Source organism: Homo sapiens, chromosome 17 (genome assembly GCF_000001405.40).
Source record: "Homo sapiens chromosome 17, GRCh38.p14 Primary Assembly".
Lineage (NCBI taxonomy): Eukaryota > Metazoa > Chordata > Mammalia > Primates > Hominidae > Homo > Homo sapiens.
In genome coordinates this window covers 42583729-42601709 of record NC_000017.11, presented here as the reverse complement: position 1 = coordinate 42601709, position 17981 = coordinate 42583729, and the positions used below count along the sequence as shown (strand labels likewise).

The 17981-nt window shown below is 45.0% G+C and overlaps 1 protein-coding gene across 3 annotated transcripts in view; it reads left to right on the top strand.

The window, feature by feature from the left end:
• The window catches only part of RETREG3 (reticulophagy regulator family member 3), a 29920-nt gene that overhangs the window by 7718 nt on the left and 4221 nt on the right, over nt 1–17981 (top strand). Inside the window, exons 2-7 of one of the 3 annotated variants that reach the window (XM_047435503.1) lie at nt 5083–5177; nt 9548–9654; nt 13846–13876; nt 14819–14945; nt 15573–15657; nt 16448–16585. In XM_047435503.1, the coding sequence (XP_047291459.1) occupies nt 9600–9654; nt 13846–13876; nt 14819–14945; nt 15573–15657; nt 16448–16585 (436 nt within the window). In that variant the 5' untranslated portion in view covers nt 5083–5177; nt 9548–9599. The remainder of the gene's footprint in view (nt 1–5082; nt 5178–9547; nt 9655–13845; nt 13877–14818; nt 14946–15572; nt 15658–16447; nt 16586–17981) is intronic. The other 2 variants (NM_178126.4, NR_026697.2) reach the window with 2 other exon arrangements.

The following is a 17981-nucleotide window of genomic DNA, read 5'->3' as shown; positions in this document are numbered from 1 at the left end:
GGTGACCCGAGATCGCGCCACTGCACTCCAGCCTGGGCAACAAGAGCAAGACTCCGTCTCAAAAAAAAAAAAAAAAAAAAAGTTGGAACCTTCTTAGTTTATTTTTCGTTTATTTTTCTTTTCTTTTTTTTTTTTGAGAGAGTCTCGCTCTGTCTGTTGCCCAGGCTGGAGTGCAGTGGCGCGATCTCGGCTCACTGCAAGCTCCGCCTCTCAGGTTCACGCCATTCTCCTGCCTCAGCCTCCCGAGTAGCTGGGACTCCAGGCGCCCACCACCACTCCCGGCTAATTTTTTGTATTTTTTAGTAGAGCCAGGGTTTCACCGTGTTAGCCAGGATGGTCTCGATCTCCTGATCTCGTGATCTGCCTGCCTCAGCCTCCCAAAGTGTTGGGATTACAGGCTTGAGCCACCGTCTTAGTTTATTTTATTTTATTTGAGATGGAGTCTTCCTGTGTTGCCCAGGCTGGAGTGCAGTGGCACAATCTCAGCTCACTGCAACCTCCGCCTCCCGGATTCAAGCAGTTCTCCTGCCTCAGCCTCCTGAGTAGCTGGGATTACGGGCACCCGCCACCATGCCTAGCTAATTTTTGTATTTTTAGGTAGAGATGGGGTTTCACCATGTTGGCCAGGCTGGTCTTGAACTCCTGATGTCAAGTGATCTACCTGCTTCAGCCTCCCAAAGTGCTGGAATTACAGGTTTGAGCCACTGCGCCTGGCCCATTCATTGTTTTTTTTGAGAGAAGGTTTCACTCTGTCACCCAGGCTAGATTGCAGTGGTGTGATCATGGCTCACTGTACCCTGGAACTCCTGAGCTCAAGTGATCATTCCACCTCATGGCTGATGAGACCACAGGAGTTCATCACCACATCAGGCTAATTGTCTATGTATTATGTGAAAAAGTTTTAAAACCATAGTGTTTTTATATGTGAATTTTTTAATGAAGAGAATAGCCTGTCTTCACACTTTTTAGAGTACATATGTGGATAATGGATCATTTTAAAAATATTTTATTATGGAAAGCTTAAAACATGTGTAAGTAGGCAGAATAATATTGTGTGCCACCATGTACATAATATTATTTTTTTCAATTCCTGGCCAATTTTGTGTCTTCCATACCCCAGTTCTTTTCTACGTCTTCCTTATTGTTTGACACAAATTATTGATGTGTCATATCATTTAATCTAGGTATTTCAGTATATTTTTCTGAAAAAGAGACTTTAAGAAACATCTGCCATCATTATCACATGCAAAAAATTAATGATTCTAGTCAGTGTTCACATTTCCAATTTTCTTATAAATGTCATAAATGATACTTTTTTTTTTCTTTTCGAGACAGGGTCTTGCTCTGTCTCCCAAGCTGGAGTGCAGTGGCACAATCAGAGCTCACTGCAACCTCAACCTTCTGGCTCTAGCAATCCTCCCACCTCAGCTTCCCAAGTAAATGGGAGTACAAGCGTGCACCACCACACCTAGCTAATGTTTTTCTTTTCAGTAGAGATGAGGTCTTGCTGTGTTGCCTAAGCTGGTCTCAAACTCTTTGACTCAAGTGATCCTCCTGCCTCGGCCTCCCAAAGTATTGGGATTACAGGCTTTAGGTACCACATGTGGCCTGTTGTGTGTGGTTTTATTTGTTGTTTTTTTTTTAAACTCTTTTTTTCCCCACAAACCAATTTGTTAGTGTTTAGGTGGTTTTTTCTGTTTTGCTTTTTTGTTTTTTGAGATAGGGTCTCGCTCTGTCACCCAGGCTGGGGTACAGTGGCACGATAACGGCTCGCTGCAACCTCAGTTTCCCGGACTCAAGCTGTCATCCCACCTCAGCCTGTTGAGTAGCTGGGATTACAGGTGCCCGCCACTATGCCCAGCTAATTTTTTGTATTTTTAGTAGAGACGGGGTTTCGCCATGTTGGCCAGGCTTGTCTCGAACTCCTGACCTCAGGTGATCCACCTGCCTTGGCTTCCCAAAGTGCTGGGATTACAGACGTGAGCCACCATGCCTGTACTTTTTTTTCGATAAACATGAATTCATGTTAGTTGTATAATTTTTTTTTTTTTTTTTTGAGACGGAGCCTTACTCTGTCACCCAGGCTGGAATGCAATGGCACAATCTCAGCTCACTGCAACCTCTGCCTCCTGGGTTCAAGCGATTGTCCTGCCTCAGCCTCCTGAGTAGCTGAGATTACAGGCATACACCACCACGCCCGGCTAATTTTGTATTTTTAATAGACATGGAGTTTCTCCATGTTAGCTAGGCTGGTCTCAAACTCCCGATCTCAGGTTATCCACCCACCTAAGGCTCCCAAAGTGCTGGGATTATAGGCATGAGCCACTGTGCCCAGCCAACAACCCTATTTCAATTTTTCCAGCCTACCACCTAAAGGATACTGTGACTATATGTAAGATTAAAGAATAAAAGCAGTTTAACAGAAATAAGCCTCTAGAGCTGCCTCAGGCCATTGATCTTCTCTCTAAAGCCAGTGCATCATCCCAACAAACAAGCACATTTAACAAGGCCAAGGAGAAGAGCTCTAGGGTTTCTTGCTCCCCAGTGCTGCTGCTTCCCTTCCCCAGCAGCAGCACATGGCATCGCTGTTTTCTCCAGAGTACTTGAAAGGGCTCTCTAGGGAGGCTTGCCAGACTGTTGGCAATTTCCCCTTCCCAGAGCACGATTACTAACACAAATAGAAACTAGGGTAGGGAAAGGATATTAAGCTCTCCTAAGAAGGTTGGTTTTCCAGAGATGATGGCAATAAAAACATATCCCTTATAATAAACTGGTAAACATTAAAAAAAAAAGACTGTTTTCTAAGACCTGGACTATTTAAATTGCTTGTTACAGCCCTTACCTTCCATTCTTATAAGCTATGCTTCAATTCAATTCAACATACCTTTGAGTACCTGTTACATGCCAAGGCCTTGTGGTAAGAAGCCCAGTTACAGAAAAAAATAAGACACAAACTTTACTCTCAAGTAAATTCATGTGTGTTTGTGTTCACGATATAACGTGACAGGTAATAATAACAAACAGGAAGATATCTAAGCTGTGATTTGCAAGATAAATGTTAAGGAAATGGGGCCGAAAGGTGTGGTAAGAGAGAGAAGACATTCAGATAGGGAAAACACCAATCTAGTAAGATACTTAAGGAATTGCAAGTAGTTTGATAAAACTGAAATATAAAAAACAAAGGGAGGGAATCAGTGTGGGGAGAGAGGCAGGATCCAGATCATGAAGGCCCTTTTATGACGGGGTAATGGGATTTCATCCTGCAGATGAAGATAAGCCAATAGTTTCATAAAGGGTATATTTTCTGGGTCTTGAAGGCTAAAATTGTGAGCATCTTCCATAACAAGATTAATCCTTGTCCATAAATCAATTTTAGTCCCAGATTTATCTTTTTTTGGAACAAGCCACAATAATAACTTCAGAGGAAGAGGCCGGGTGCGGTGGCTCACGTCTGTAATCCCAGCACTTTGGGAGGCTGAGGCGGGTGGATCATGAGGTCAGGAGATCGAGACAATCCTAGCTAACATGGTAAAACCCCGTCTCTACTAAAAATACAAAAAATTAGCCGGGCGTGGTGGCGGGCGCCTGTAGTCCCAGCTACTCGGGAGGCTGAGGCAGGAGAATGGCATGAACCCGAGAGATGGAGCTTGCAGTGAGCCGAGATCGCACCACTGTACTCCAGCCTGGGCAACAGAGCGAGACTCCGTCTCAAAAAAAAAAAAAAAAAAAAAAACTTCAGAGGAAGAAGAGTTTTCTTTGTGGTATAAAATAACGTTTCTTGGCCAGGCGCGGTGGCTTATGCCTGTAATCCCAACATTTTGGGAGGCTGAGGCGAGCTGATCACTTGAGATCAGGGATTCGAGACCAGCCTGGCCAACAAGACGAAACTCCGTCTCTACTAAAAATACAAAAATTAGCTGGGCGCAGTGGCGCACACCTTAACCCCAGCTACTCAGGAGGCTGAGGCAGGAGTATTACTTGAACCCTGGAGGCGGAGGTTGAAGTGAGTGGAGATCTGTGCCACTGCACTCTAGCCTGGGTGACAGAGTGAGACTCTGTCTCAAAAAAAAAAAAAAAAAAAAAAAAAAAATATATATATATATATATATATATATATATATATATATACACACAAAATATATATATACACAAAAATATATATACGAAATATATATATATATATATACACACACACACACACACACACACACAAAATAGATTCTGGCTGGGCGCGGTGGCTCATTCCTGTAATCCCAGCACTTTGGGATGCCGAGGTGGGTGGATCACAAGGTCAGGAGATCGAGATCATCCTGGCTAACATGGTGCAACCCCGTCTCTACTAAAAATACAAAAATTAGCTGGGCGTAGCGGTGCATGCCTGTAATCCCAGCTACTCAGGAGGCTGAGGCAGGAGAATTGCTTGAACCTGGGAGGCAGAGGTTGCAGTGAGCCAAGATCACGCCACTGCACTCTAGCCTGGCGACAGAGCTAAGACTCCGTCTCAAAAAAAAAAAAAAAGAAAAAATAGATTCTTCTGGCCAGGTACAGCGGCTCATGCCTCTAATCCCAGTACTTTGGGAGGTCGAAGCGGGCGGATCACTTGAGATCAGGAGTTTGAGACCAGCCTAGCCAACATGGTGAAACCTTGTCTCTATTTAAAAAATTTAAAAATTAGCTGGGCATGGTGAGGGCACCTGTAATCTCAGTTACTTGGGAGACTAGGACAGGAGAATTGCTTGAACCCAGGAGGCAGAGGTTGCAGTGAGCCAAGATGGCGCCATTGCACTTCAGCCTGGGTGACAAAGCCAGACTCTTATCTCAAAAAAAAAAAAAAAATTCTTCCAAACAGCAAAACTTAATAGACAGATCACCTCAAAGAACTAGAGTTGACCCCTCCAAGGTAACCAGGTAATTAATATTAATGTTCTCTTACAGGTTTATCAAATATAAAATGGTATAGATAAGTGTGTGCTTCTCCTTTCCTTCCAGCCCTCAACACAAAATTCCTAAATAAAAGGGAGTATCAACATCAGATTGATGTATTTTGTATATAATAAGGTCACATTATACTTGTCATTTTAGAGATGTAACCTAGAAGTCAAGCGGTAAAACAAGCTTTGCAACTATGTGGATGGACAAGATGTAATTGAAGATGAAGTACTTTAGAGATGGTATGGGTAAGGAATGGAGGAAAAAAAGGGAGGATTCCTCTGCATTCGTTTAGTCCTGCAATGTCTATTCATGCGGGCCAAAAAACTCACAAGCAGATAAAACAGTGTAATAAGAAAAAAACTAAAACATTTTTATTTCTTTTTTTTTTTTTTTTTTTTTTTTTTTTTTTTTTTTTTTTGAGAAAGGGTCTCAGATTTGTCAGCCAGGCTGGAGTGCAGTGGCACAACCACGGCTCACTGGGGCCTCAACCTTTCAGGCTCAAGCAAGCCTCCTGAGTAGCTGAGACTACAGGTTTGCATCACCATACCTGGCTAATTTTTTTTTTTTTTTAAATAGAGACAGGGTCTCACTATATTGTCCAGGCTGGTCTCGAACTCCTGGGCTCAAGCCATCCTCCCACCTCAGCCTCCCAAAGTGTTGGGATTATAGGTGTAAGCCATTGCACCCGGCTGAAAACATTTTTCGGCAACGATAATGAGCGTGAGAACTTTCCAACTTGGCAAAAACAACTGCAAATATAGTCAACTCTGGAAATTCACACATGAATTATTCAGTTTGGGGACTGTGATAGCCTGTTACTCCTTCTACCTACTGTAGGCTCACAATCTATTTTTTCTTAATGATTTTTTTTTTTTCTTAGACAGGGCCTTGCCCTGTTTCCCAGCCTGGGGTGCAGTGGCGTGAACACGTTCACTGCTGCCTCAACCTCCTGGACTTAACCAACCAATCCTCCTGCCTCAGCGCGCTGAGGCAGGGAGAATCAATCTCTTGAATCTGGGAGGTGGAGGTTTCAGTGAGCGGAGATCATGCCATTGCACTCCAGCCTGGGCGACCAAGAGAGAGACTCCGTCTCAAAAAAAAAAAAAAAAAAGAAAGAAAGAAATAGGGTTGTCATTGGTGACTGGATTTCTGAGTTCTTGTTCCCGTCCATCCCTCATTCTTTGTATGATTTTAAAATGTTATTTTTAAAAATTATGGCCAGGTGTCATGCCTCACACCTGTAATCCCAGCTACTTGGGAGGCTGAGGCAGGAGAATTGCTTGAACCTGGGAGGCAGAGGTTGCAGTGAACTGAGATCGTGCCACTGCACTCCAGCCTGGGTCACAAGAGCAAGACTCTGAAGAAAAAAAAAAGGGCCAGAGTGCGGTGGCTCATGTCTGTAATCCCAGCACTTTGGGAGGCCAAGGTAGGATCACGAGGTCAGGGAGTTCAAGACCAGCCTAGCCAATATGGTGTCTCAAAAAATTCCGTCTCAAAAAAAAAGTACAAAAGGCCAGGCGCAGTGGCTCATGCCTGTAATCCCAGCACTTTGGGAGGCTGAGGCAGGCAGATCACGAGGTCAAGAGATCGAGACCATCCTGGCCAACATGGTGAAACCCCGTCTCTACTAAAAATACAAAAAAAATTAGCTGGACGTGGTGGTGCATGCATGTAGTCCCAGCTACTCGGGAGGCTGAGGCAGGAGAATCGCTTCAACCAGAAGGTGGAGGTTGCAGTGAGCCAAGATCGCGCCATTGCACTCCAGCCTGGGCAACAAGAGTGAAACTCCGTCTCAAAAAAAAAAAAAAAAAAAAGTAAAAAAAAAAATCTACAAACAAAACGTAAAGTTCCTTAGGCCAGTCCCCCATTTATGTATGTATATTCAAATGTACAGCCGGATAAACGTATGTATGTATGTATTTATTTTGAGACGGAGTTCCACTCTGTCGCCCAGCCTGGAGTGCAGTAGCGCAATCTCAGCTCACTGCAAGCTCCGCCTCGCAGGTTCACGCCATTCTCCTGCCTCAGCCTCCCGAGTAGCTGGGACTACAGGCACCTGCCACCATGCCCGGCTAATTTTTTTATTTTTTGTATTTTTAGTAGAGATAGGGTTTCAACGAGTTAGCCAGGATGGTCTCGATCTCCTGACCTCGTGATCTGCCCGCCTCAGCCTCTCAAAGTGCTGGGATTACAGGCGTGAGCCACCGCGCCCAGCCTTTATTTTGAAATGGAGTCTTGCTTTGTCTCCCAGTCTGGAGTACAGTGGCGCGATCTCAGCTCACTGCAACCTCCACCTCCCAGGTTCAGGCGATTCTCCTGCCTCACCCTCCCGAGTAGCTGGGACTACAGGCACGCCACTGCACCTGGCTAATTTTTGTACTTTTAGTAGAGACAGGGTTTCGCCATGTTGTCCAGGCTGGTTTTGAACTCCTAACCTCAGGTGATCTGCCCACCTTGGCCTCCCAAAGTGTTGGAATTACAGGCGTCAGCCACCATGCCTAGTCTTTTCGGAATACTGTGAAATGCTATTTATATTCTGTTCTAATCTATACATGATTTTCATATTGGCTCCAATATTTGTTTTTTTGAGACCAGAATCTCACTCCGTTACCCAGGCTGGAGGTGCAGTGGTGCGATCTCCGCTCACTGCAACCTCTACCTCCGAGGCTAGCAATTCTTGTGACGCAGTCCCCCAGGTAACTGGGACCGCAAGCGCGCCACCATGCTCAGCTCATTTTTTGTATTTGTTTTTAGAGATGGTGTTTCCCCATGTTGCCGAGGCTTGTCTCGAGCTCCTGAGCTCAAGCAGTCTGCCTGCCTCAGCCTCCCAAAGTGCTGGGATTACAGGCATGAGCCACCACACCTGGCCAGGGCTCTATAGTTCATGTTCACATCACATGTTACTTAGGGGGAAAAAAGGGAAAAAATGACCCAGAGTGTAGCATTTATGCTATCTGTACTAATCTGTGTTTCTGAATTTCCTCATTTAATATTAAACCAAAATAGATCTGAAAAAAATAACTACCTTAACACTTAGCATCTAAAAGAAAAAAATTCCTTAGTATCATTAGATGTGTTCTCAATGTCAGATTTCTCAGATTGTTCAATTTTTTTTTTTTTTTTTTTTTTTGAGACGGAGTCTTGCTCTGTCGCCCAGGCTGGAGTGCAGTGGCGCGATCTTGGCTCACTGCAAGCTCCGCCTCCCAGGTTCACGCCATTCTCGTCTCAGCCTCCCGAGCAGCTGGGACTACAGGCGCCCGCCACCATGCCCAGCTAATTTTTTTGTATTTTTAGTAGAGACAGGGTTTCACCATATTAACCAGGATGGTCTCGATCTCCTGACCTCAAGATCTGCCCGCCTCTGCCTCCCAAAGTGCTGGGATTACAGGCTTGAACCACCACGCCTGGCCTCAAAATTTTTTTATGGTTGATTCCTTCAAATAAGAACTAGCTTTTCCTTTACCTTATTGATGTGATGCCTTACACTTACTGATTTTTTTGTATGTTAAACCGCCCTTGCAGTCTTGGGATAAATCTCATTTGTTCATGGTGTATAATACTTTTAATATGCTGCTGAATTTAACTTGCTAGTATTTTATTGAAGATTTTTACATCTATATTCATAAGGAATATTGGTCTACAGTTTTATTGTGTCTTTGGCTTTGGTATCAGGATAATGCTGGCCTCACAAAATAAATCAAGAAGTGTTTCCTTTTTTTGGTTTTTTGGAAGAGTTTGAGAAGCATTTGTGTTAATTCTGGAGAACTTGCTTTTATTTATTTATTTATTTTGAGACAGAGTCTCACTCTGTTGCCCAGGCTGGAGTGCAGTGGCATGATCTTGGCTCACTGTAACCTCCGCCTCTTGGGTTCTAGCAATTCTCGTGCTTCAGCCTCCCAGGTAGTTGGGATTACAGGCATGCCTCAGCCTCCCAGGTAGCTGGGATTACAGGTGCACACCACCACACCCGGCTAATTTTTGTATTTTTGGTAGATACGGAGTTTCACCATGTTGGCCAGGCTGGCCTCAAACTCCCGACCTCAGGTGATCCACCTGTCTCAGCCTCCCAAAGTGCTGGGATTACAGGCTTGAGCCACTGTGCCTGGCCAGAACTTGCTTTTCAATATAGCTTTTATGCCAACTTTCTGTGTGACCTTAATCAAATATTTTTCAGGCCTCAGTTCCTAGATCTGTAAAAAGATATGTAATTGAATTAAATGCTCTTGAGTGCATCTCTGTCAGTTTGTTGCCCTACACTAGGGTCTAATTTGGTAGAAAGATGTTTGCTTTCATTATAACAACTTGTTATCAAGGATGAATTTCTCCGTGAAATTAATAGAGATATAGACTGGAAAGCAGAAGGAGCTTTAAGAGGTTATTTGATTTAGTCCTCTGCCTTTACAGCAGCAAATTATTTTCTCTGCCCCATAGGTAGAGTAGTTAAGGTCCAGAAGGTTTAAATGATTTACCCTAGGTGTATAACTAGTTAAGTGTCAGAACAAAAAAAGCTAGACCTCAAGTCTGTTTACCACAGAGCCCATCGTACACACGTGGCCTTTTCTGAAATTAGGATAACTAGGTAAATGATCTTTCTTCTGTTTTTCTTCCTCTGTAGGTTTTTTGCCCTGACATCTCTTCGTCTTGTGTTTTTACTTGCATTTGGCTTGATGATCATTGTGTGTATTGATCAATGGAAGAACAAAATCTGGCCTGAAATAAAAGGTGAGTTTGGTAGCATTTAGAACAATCTGAACTGAAGATGGCCTTTCCTATAATTTGTACCTTTAGTATTAGGGGTTTATGAGGAGGTGTATGGAGCTGGGGACTGTCTTTTGAAGTCTGAATCATTTGCTTTAGGAGGCACTTGAAGGGCTTGTGCCCCAATTATGGTTCCTTAGAGCTGGGTTCTGCCCTTCCCATTGTTACTAAGCACAGGAAATCTGTACTCACCACCTGAGTTATTTTTGCCAACATAATGGCCTGAGGAATAAGTAGTCCTCAAATGAAAAATAATAAATTATCGTTATTGGACACTGCATCTTTATTGAGGCAGTACCTCTCAGGAATTCCTTTTACATTGCTCATTTGCAAAACACTAGGCTAGGCAATTGTGACTTATAGAAAGTACCATGATGGCCGGGCGCAGTGGCTAACGCCTATTAGTAACCCCTGCACTTTGGGAGTCCGAGGCGGGTGGATCACCTGAGGTCAGGAGTTCGAGCCCAGCCTGGCCAACATGATGAAACCCCGTCTAATAAAAATACAAAAAATTAGCTGGGCATGGTGATGCATACCTGTAATCTCAGCCACTAAGGAGGCTGAGGCAGGAGAATCACTTGAACCTGGGAGGCGGAGGTTGCAGTGAGCCGAGATCGTGCCACTGCACTCCAGCCTCGGTGACAAGAGCAAAACTCAGTCTCAAAAAAAAAAAAAAAGAAAGTACCATGACATGTGGTGTCTTTTTAAAAAGCTAATACATACATAAACAAATGAAAAATTAAGTGACAATTATAGACCAGCACCACAGATGTCACAGTGCAGTATGTGATTAGTATACTTAGCATGTATTTTTTCCCTAGCCTGAGAGTGGAACAAAGCAAAAGATTTGAACAGATTGAGAAAAAAGTCTGTTTCTAGAGAGTCCAGTGGCTTGATTAGTCTGAGGAACCAGAAGTTGCAAAGCATTTCCTGACATCAGAGAATTGATCATATGGCCAGGATGAAGGTTCATTAAAGGGAGTGCTAGGAAATAAAACTGAAAGTATGTTGGGATTAGGTTTTTTGTTGGTTTCTTTTCTTTTCTTTTCTTTTGAGACGGAGTCTCACTCTGTTGGCCAGGCTGGACTGCAGTGGCATGATCTTGGCTCACTGCAACCTCCGCCTCCCAGGTTCAAGTGATCCTCCTGCTTCAGCCCTGCTAGTAGCTGGGATTACAGGCACGCACCACCATGCCTGGCTAATTTTTGTATTTTTGTTAGAGACGGGGTTTTACCATGTTGGCCAGGCTGGTCTCGAACTTCTGACCTCAGGTGATCCACCCGCCTAGGCCTCCCAAAGTGCTGGGATTACAGGCGTGAGGCACCGCACCTGGCGCATTCTTTTTTTTCAGACAGAGTCTTGGTCTGTCACCCAGGCTGGAGTGCAGTGGCGCAATCATGGCTCACTGTGGCCTCAACCTTCCGGGCTCCAGCAATTCTCCCACCTTAGCCACCTGAGCAGCTGGGACTATAGGCACTTGCCACCATGTCCAGCTAATTTTTGTATTTTTTCTATAGATGGGGTTTCTCCATGTTGGTCAGGCTGGTCTTGAACTCCCAACCTCAGATGATCTGCCCGCCTCAGCCTTCCAAAGTACTGGGATTACAGACGTGAGTCACCGCGCCCAGCCCTATTCTTATTTTTTAACAAACTAGGTCTCACTGTGTTGTCCAGGTTTTGGAGTACAGTGGCATGATCATAGCTCACTGCAACCTCAAATCCCTGGGCTTAAGTGATCCTCCCACCTCAGTCTCCCAATTAGCTGGGACTACAGGTGCATACCACCACACCCAGCTAAGTAAAAAAAATTTTTTTTGAGACAGAATCTCACTTTGTTGCTCAGGCTGGAGTGCAGTGGCGCGATCTTGGCTCGCTGCAACCTCCACCTCCCAGGTTCAGATGATTCTCCTGCCTCAGTCTCCTGAGTAGCTGGGACGACAGGCGTGCACCACTACGCCCAGCTAATTTTTTTGGTATTTTTAGTAGAAATGGGGTTTCGCCATGTTGGCCAGGCTGGTCTTGAACTCCTGACCTCAAGTGATCCGCGTGCCTTGGCCTTCCAAAGTGCTGGGATTACCTGCGTGGGCCACCACGCCCAGCCGATAATAAAGATTAATTTAGTAGCATTTTTAGGACCACATGGAAGGAGGAAAAGTGGAACAGGATGACCTGTTAGGAGACTGTGGCAGTGTCTTTGTGAGAAGTAGTCAGAGAGGCCTCAGTGAATACAAATGATGGATGGCCTGGAGAGCTGTGAATAAGGAAGATCAAGACATAAATAGTTGGGGCCAGGTGCAGTGGATCATGCCTGTGATCTCAGCACTTTGGGAGGCCAAGGCAGGAGAATTGCTTGAGCCAAGGAATTTGAGACCGGCCTGGACAACGTGGCGAAACCTTGTCTCTACAAAAAATAAAAAAATTACCCAGGCATGGTGGTGTGCACCTGTGGTCCCCAGCTACTTGGGAGGCTGAAGTGGGAAGATCCCTTGAGCCCTGGAGGTTGAGGCTGCAGTGAGCCGTGATCGCACCACTGTACTCCAGCCAAGACAACAGGGCGACACCTGTCTCAGAAAATAATAATTGTTATATATGTATAATAAAAGACATAAGTGGATGGGGGTTAAAGCTAAGAGAGTGGCAGAATGGCATTACACTTAGCAGGCAAAGGCAGACAGGAAAGTTGGTTTGAAGGGGTGAGAGAGGAAAACTGATGTAGATTTTAGGCAGGTTAATTTTGAAGTGTTGGCAAGATATTCAAACCAGAGTATACAGGTTTTAAATACATGCCCATCATATTTTATAGAGACTTCAAGGAATCGTGTAGTTCATCTGCCTATCTAATGGCTGGTGAATCTCAAAAGACTTATACATCATTCAGGTAGATAATGGGTCTCCCCATTTTTTTTTTTTTTTGGTTAGAGACAGGGTCTCACTGTGTTTCCCAGGATGGACTTGAACTCCTGGGCTCAAGTGATCCTCCTGCCTCAGCCCCCCAAGGAGGCAGAACTATAAGTGAGCATCACTACACCTAGCTCTGGGTCTCTTTTTAAAGAGAACAGGCAGGCTGGGTGTGGTGGCTCACACCTGTAATTCCAGCACTTTAGGGAGGCTATGGTGGGTGGATCACCTGAAGTCAGGAGTTCAAGACCAGCCTGGCCAACATAGCAAAAACCTGTCTCTACTAAAAACACAAAAATAGCCAGGCGTGGTGGCAGGTGCCTATAATCCCAGCTACTTGGGAGGCTGAGGCAGGAGAATTGCTTGAACACCAGAGGTGGAGGTTGTAGTGAGCCAAGATCGTGCCACTGCATTCCAGCCTGGGTGACAGAGTGAGATTCTGTCTCAAAAAAATAAAGAGAACAGGCAGATTTCGGCTGGGTACGGTAGCTCACGCCTGTGATGCCAGCACTTTGGGAGGTGGAGGAGTTCGAGAGCAGCCTGGCCAACATGGTGAAACCCCATCTCTACTAAAAACACAAAAATTAGCCAGGTATGGTGGCGTGTGCCTGTAATCCCAGTTACTCGGGAGGCTGAGTGAGCTGAGATCACGCCACTGCACTCCAGCCTGGGCTACAGAGCAAGACCCTGTCTCCAAAAAAAAAAAAAATTAGCCGGGCATTGTGGTGGGTGCCTGTAGTCCCAGCTACTCAGGAGGCTGAGGCAGAAGAATGGGAGGCGGAGCTTGCAGTGAGCCAAGATCGTGCCACTGCACTCCAGGCTGGGCAACAGAGCGAGAAGACTCTGTCTCAAAAAAAATAAACACAACAGGTGGATTTCTAGGGTTGGAGTTGTTACAACGTACCTTGTGTAGCCTGGCACAGATTGATGTGTATGGGTATCCCAGACACACTCAAGGGGTGAGATGGACCATTTTTCTTGTACACCTTGGCTTTCAGCTGAGGTCATTAGAAGGGGGCTCAAATAGTCCATTTGGACCTCCCTTCCTTCCCCTCGAAAAATGAGTAGGCATAAGTGATTATTCCCTTGTCTGCAGCTCCCTAACTGGCAGTATAACACAGTGTCTCCTTTTTTATCGGCTATTACTGTTTTCTTTTCCCCAACCTATTAAAACTTGAGCTGTCAGACCAACAGCCTAACATTTTCATGTTTAGTTTTCCCTACCAACTAATGCTGGTGTTTGTTTTAATATTGTAGTGCCAAGACCCGACGCATTAGACAATGAGAGGTATGGAACACTAATTAAATCCCTTTTTGTTGCTCTGATTCATTCTCTTGTAATATTCTGGTTACATGTTGTTAACCCCATGTTCTGGACACACAGTGTAAACTGAGAACCTAGGCTGTTCCAAATGATCATTTTAACACATCCTAAAGTTCAGGCAGCAATATGTTGAGATGGCCTGTGTCCTCTGATCTTTACAAGAGAAGTTTCTGAAAAAGAAGCATTACAGTGCCCCATAACCTGACATGCCAGGGAATCAGCTGCATTATTCAGTCCCAGTGAGAAAACTTAAAGGCAGCTAACTTCATTTGTCTCCTGGCTTTTATACCAGGTCATTTAGTGTTTTCTGTGACCTCTGGCTATTTAAAGTTCCCGGTCAGAAAACACATTGGTTCCTGGCATCAGCAAGTCAAAGCCAAAGATTCCTCTTGTGTCTTACAGCTCCTGCTTTCATTTCTCAGTTCATCCACTCCATTTGTTTGATCCAAAGAATTTTCTCTGCTGTGGTTTATTTTGGTTTTGCTTTATTTATTTTCTTTCTAAGGGGCACATCCACCATTTCCTCCCCCTTAGCAGCAGTGGTGTCAGTCAGACTATGCTCACTTTTATCCCTGGATTGCAATCACAGGGAATTGGAATGGTCTGAGTGCAAGGAAGAAAACGTTTCTAAGCACAAAGGGCCTTGGAGCTGGGGACAGGTTTACACACGTGGATTGGGCTGCTTGCTCATAGGGTGGAGTTGTCAGAACAAGTTTGTCCTCCTTGTACCTAAATTCAGATTTCAACCTGGTGAGCCAAGAAGAAAGTCATGCTTCACCTCCAAAGCACCTGGGCCTAGTCACTCCCCAAACCCCATTTAAAACCGGAAGCACTGGCTGCCTGCACAGCAAGATGGGGGGACCCTCAACACCCTCCTTTCACAGCTCCCCCTTCTCTCTCCCATAGCTGGGGCTTTGTGCACCCTCGGTTGCTCAGCGTGCCCGAGCTCTGCCACCATGTAGCTGAAGTCTGGGTTAGTGGGACCATTTTCATAAGGAATGTTTTGCTTTTCAAAAAGCAAAACCCAGGCAAGGTAAGACTCTTCCCTTTTTCACTTTCATCTCTGGCCTCTCAGTTCAGTTCATGCTAAACTGAAACAGCTCCTTTACTATGTGTCTTCATTCAAGAAAGTAAAGACTATGATGTTCATAGAGACAAAAGGAAGCTATAGGAAAGGCCTTCTGACCAGCCATTAGGACTAACACAGGAGCTTGGTGACTGCTCATTTGGTGTGGTTGCCACTTAGATGAGGCCGTTTTCTTGCTTCAAGATAGGAAAGAAAGCTTTCTTGTGTACATTCTGTGTCATATTAAATATGTGATAGGTTGTTGTGTTTTTTTGGGTTTTGTGTGTGTTTCTGTTGACTTAAAAAACCACCACCAACATTGCTTTCAGAGAGAATTTTTGGCTAAGTCCTATTCAAACCAATTTCTTGGCAGGAAAGGTGCAGCCCTATGGGGTTAGCCATGTAAAAGGAGTTTGAATAGAAGGGGACATGCTCCTTTTCTTCCCAAACAGAATCACCTTTGGATGCAACAGTGGCTGCACGTCCATGCTTGACTTACAGAGTCTTTCTGTCATATCTCTACCCTAACCCTTCACACCCACCCCAGTCCCCTGCCATGTGACAGAAACTTAATACTCTTTCTTGATTCCCCAGTTCTGCTTGCTGAGCTGTGGGATACTGACCTTTTTGGCTGTCTTGGGCCGCTACGTCCCTGGGCTTCTGCTGTCCTACTTGATGCGTAAGTATGACATATACCTCCCCTACAAAGTATACCCTGCTCATAGCTTTCCAACTATGGCTAACTCTAGGTGTGGGGAGAGGACTGTTATATTTCAATTCTCTAGGATATGACCTTTGCATATTTTCATGACCTGTTTAGTGTCATGAAAATATCCTTCTTTAGCAGGCTCTCCACATACAAAGTTCATTTCTTACCAAGTCAGAAATTGATGAGGGTCCACTAACATATATTGTTGGTATTACCAACTATAAAGGACTGCCTGTCCCTGTTTAAGGAGAGAATTTTTAGAGCCAGGGTATTGTCAGCAGAACATAACTCTTAGGGGTTTCTCTGCTAGGTTCTATTTATGCCAGAGTACTTTTTTCCCACTTGGAGCATAGTTTTGTAAATTTAGTTACTTCCTGTTGGCATGTACTCAGCTTGCTTGGGGCTGGAAGAACTAAGTACTTATGCCTGTGGCTTTTGTATATCAAAACCTCGCATGATTTGTTGTGTAATTTCCATTTATGGCTCAGTGACACCCATTGCCAGGTTCTGCCCTTGGCCTGTCAGCAGCATACTGTGCTGTGCACAACCCTGCAGTAGGCTTTGTGGGTGGCTGTAGAAGTCCCTGCCCTCAAAGACTCCTTCATGTGTAGGGGAGACTGGTGAAGATGACTGGCAGACTTGGGCAGATCTGTTCCACACTTTGTGTCCAAGCCCTAAGGACCAATAGCAGCGCTACAGTTGGGAATGTTTTTTGCAGCCCCTTCTCCATTTTGTCACTGTTTCCCATGCCTCCTCACAGTTGTCACTGTCATGATGTGGCCCCTTGCTGTGTACCACCGACTGTGGGATCGAGCATATGTGCGGCTGAAGCCAGCTCTGCAGCGGCTAGACTTCAGTGTCCGTGGCTACATGATGTCCAAGCAGAGAGAGAGACAATGTAAGTGTCATGGTGTCATTCTTTCCACTTACGCAATTTGGGGCGAAAAGGAGAAGCCCATAGGTCTGACATACTGGGTGGGTCCTCAAAAGTGGAAGTCGGGGGTAGTTGGTGGGGGTGAGGATTGATAGGTAAAAATGATATTCTGTTCTAGGGAAACCTGTGCAGGCTTGCCAGTTTTTATCATTTGTAATCCTAGGCTCCCGTTTTAAACCTATCTGATAAAAGCTCTTTCAAGTTGAATAAAAGCTAGACAGTGAAGATAAATTCCTAGTATTTGTGGTTTGTTTTTTTTTTTTTTTTTTTTTTGAGACAGGGTCTCATTCTGTTTCCCAGGCTGGAGTGCAGTGGCATGATCATGGCTCACTGCACCCTTGACCTCCCAGGCTCAAGTGATCCTTCTACTCAGCCCCGCCAAACCCTTCAGTAGCTGGGACTACAGGCATGTGTCACCACATCTATCTGATTTTTAAATTTTTTTGTAGAGATGGGGTCTCATGTTGCCCAGGCTGATCCTGAACTCCTGGGCTCAAGCGATCCTCCTGCCTTGGCGTTCCAAAGTGTTGGGATTACAGGTGTGAGCCACCGTGCTGAGCCCAGAGCAGATCCTTTCAACTCCTAAGCCTGGTCTCTTCACTAGTAAAAGCTGCCTCCCAAAGGTGATTAAAAACTGCTGCCTCAGAGGTTGTAAGTGTACTAGCCTGAGATCCATGCAACACAATGATGGTAGTACAAACTTTTCCCTCCCTTGTGTGGTCTTGTCAGGTTTTGTGTTTTATGGAGGCCTGGCCTTCAAAGAGCCCTGCACTTGGTCACCAAGGCCCAAGTCCCCTTGGGGCAGCCAGTTGAATAATACCAGTCCTCAAAAGTCTGATTTAACAAGGTGTGCATCTCCTTTTGCCCTCTCTTTGATCATGTCCACTTAACACCTTGACATTAGGTCTGCCTTTAGCCATCCAGAGAGTTGTTGACAAAGCCTGGTATTTGATCATCTGACCAGAATAGAAATGTGTGCCAGGCCGGGCGCAGTGGCTCACACTTGTAATCCCAGCACTTTTGGAGGCTGAGGTGGGCGGATCACCTTAGGTCAGGAGTTCGAGACCAGCTTGACCAATATGATGAAACCCCGTCTCTACTAAAAATACAAATATTAGCCAGGTGTGATGGTGAGCACCTGTAATCTCAGCTACTCAGGAGGCTGAGACAGGAGTATTGCTTGAATCCAAGAGGCAGAGGTTGCAGTGAGCCGAGATCGCGCCATTGCACTCCAGCCTGGGCAACAAGAACAAAACTCCATCTCAAAAGAAAAAAGAAATATGTAGGGTCTGGTGGAGAGGATGTTGGAAGCTGAGATATTTTCTCCAGTGTTTTCAACTCACCTTGCATTTAGGCTCAG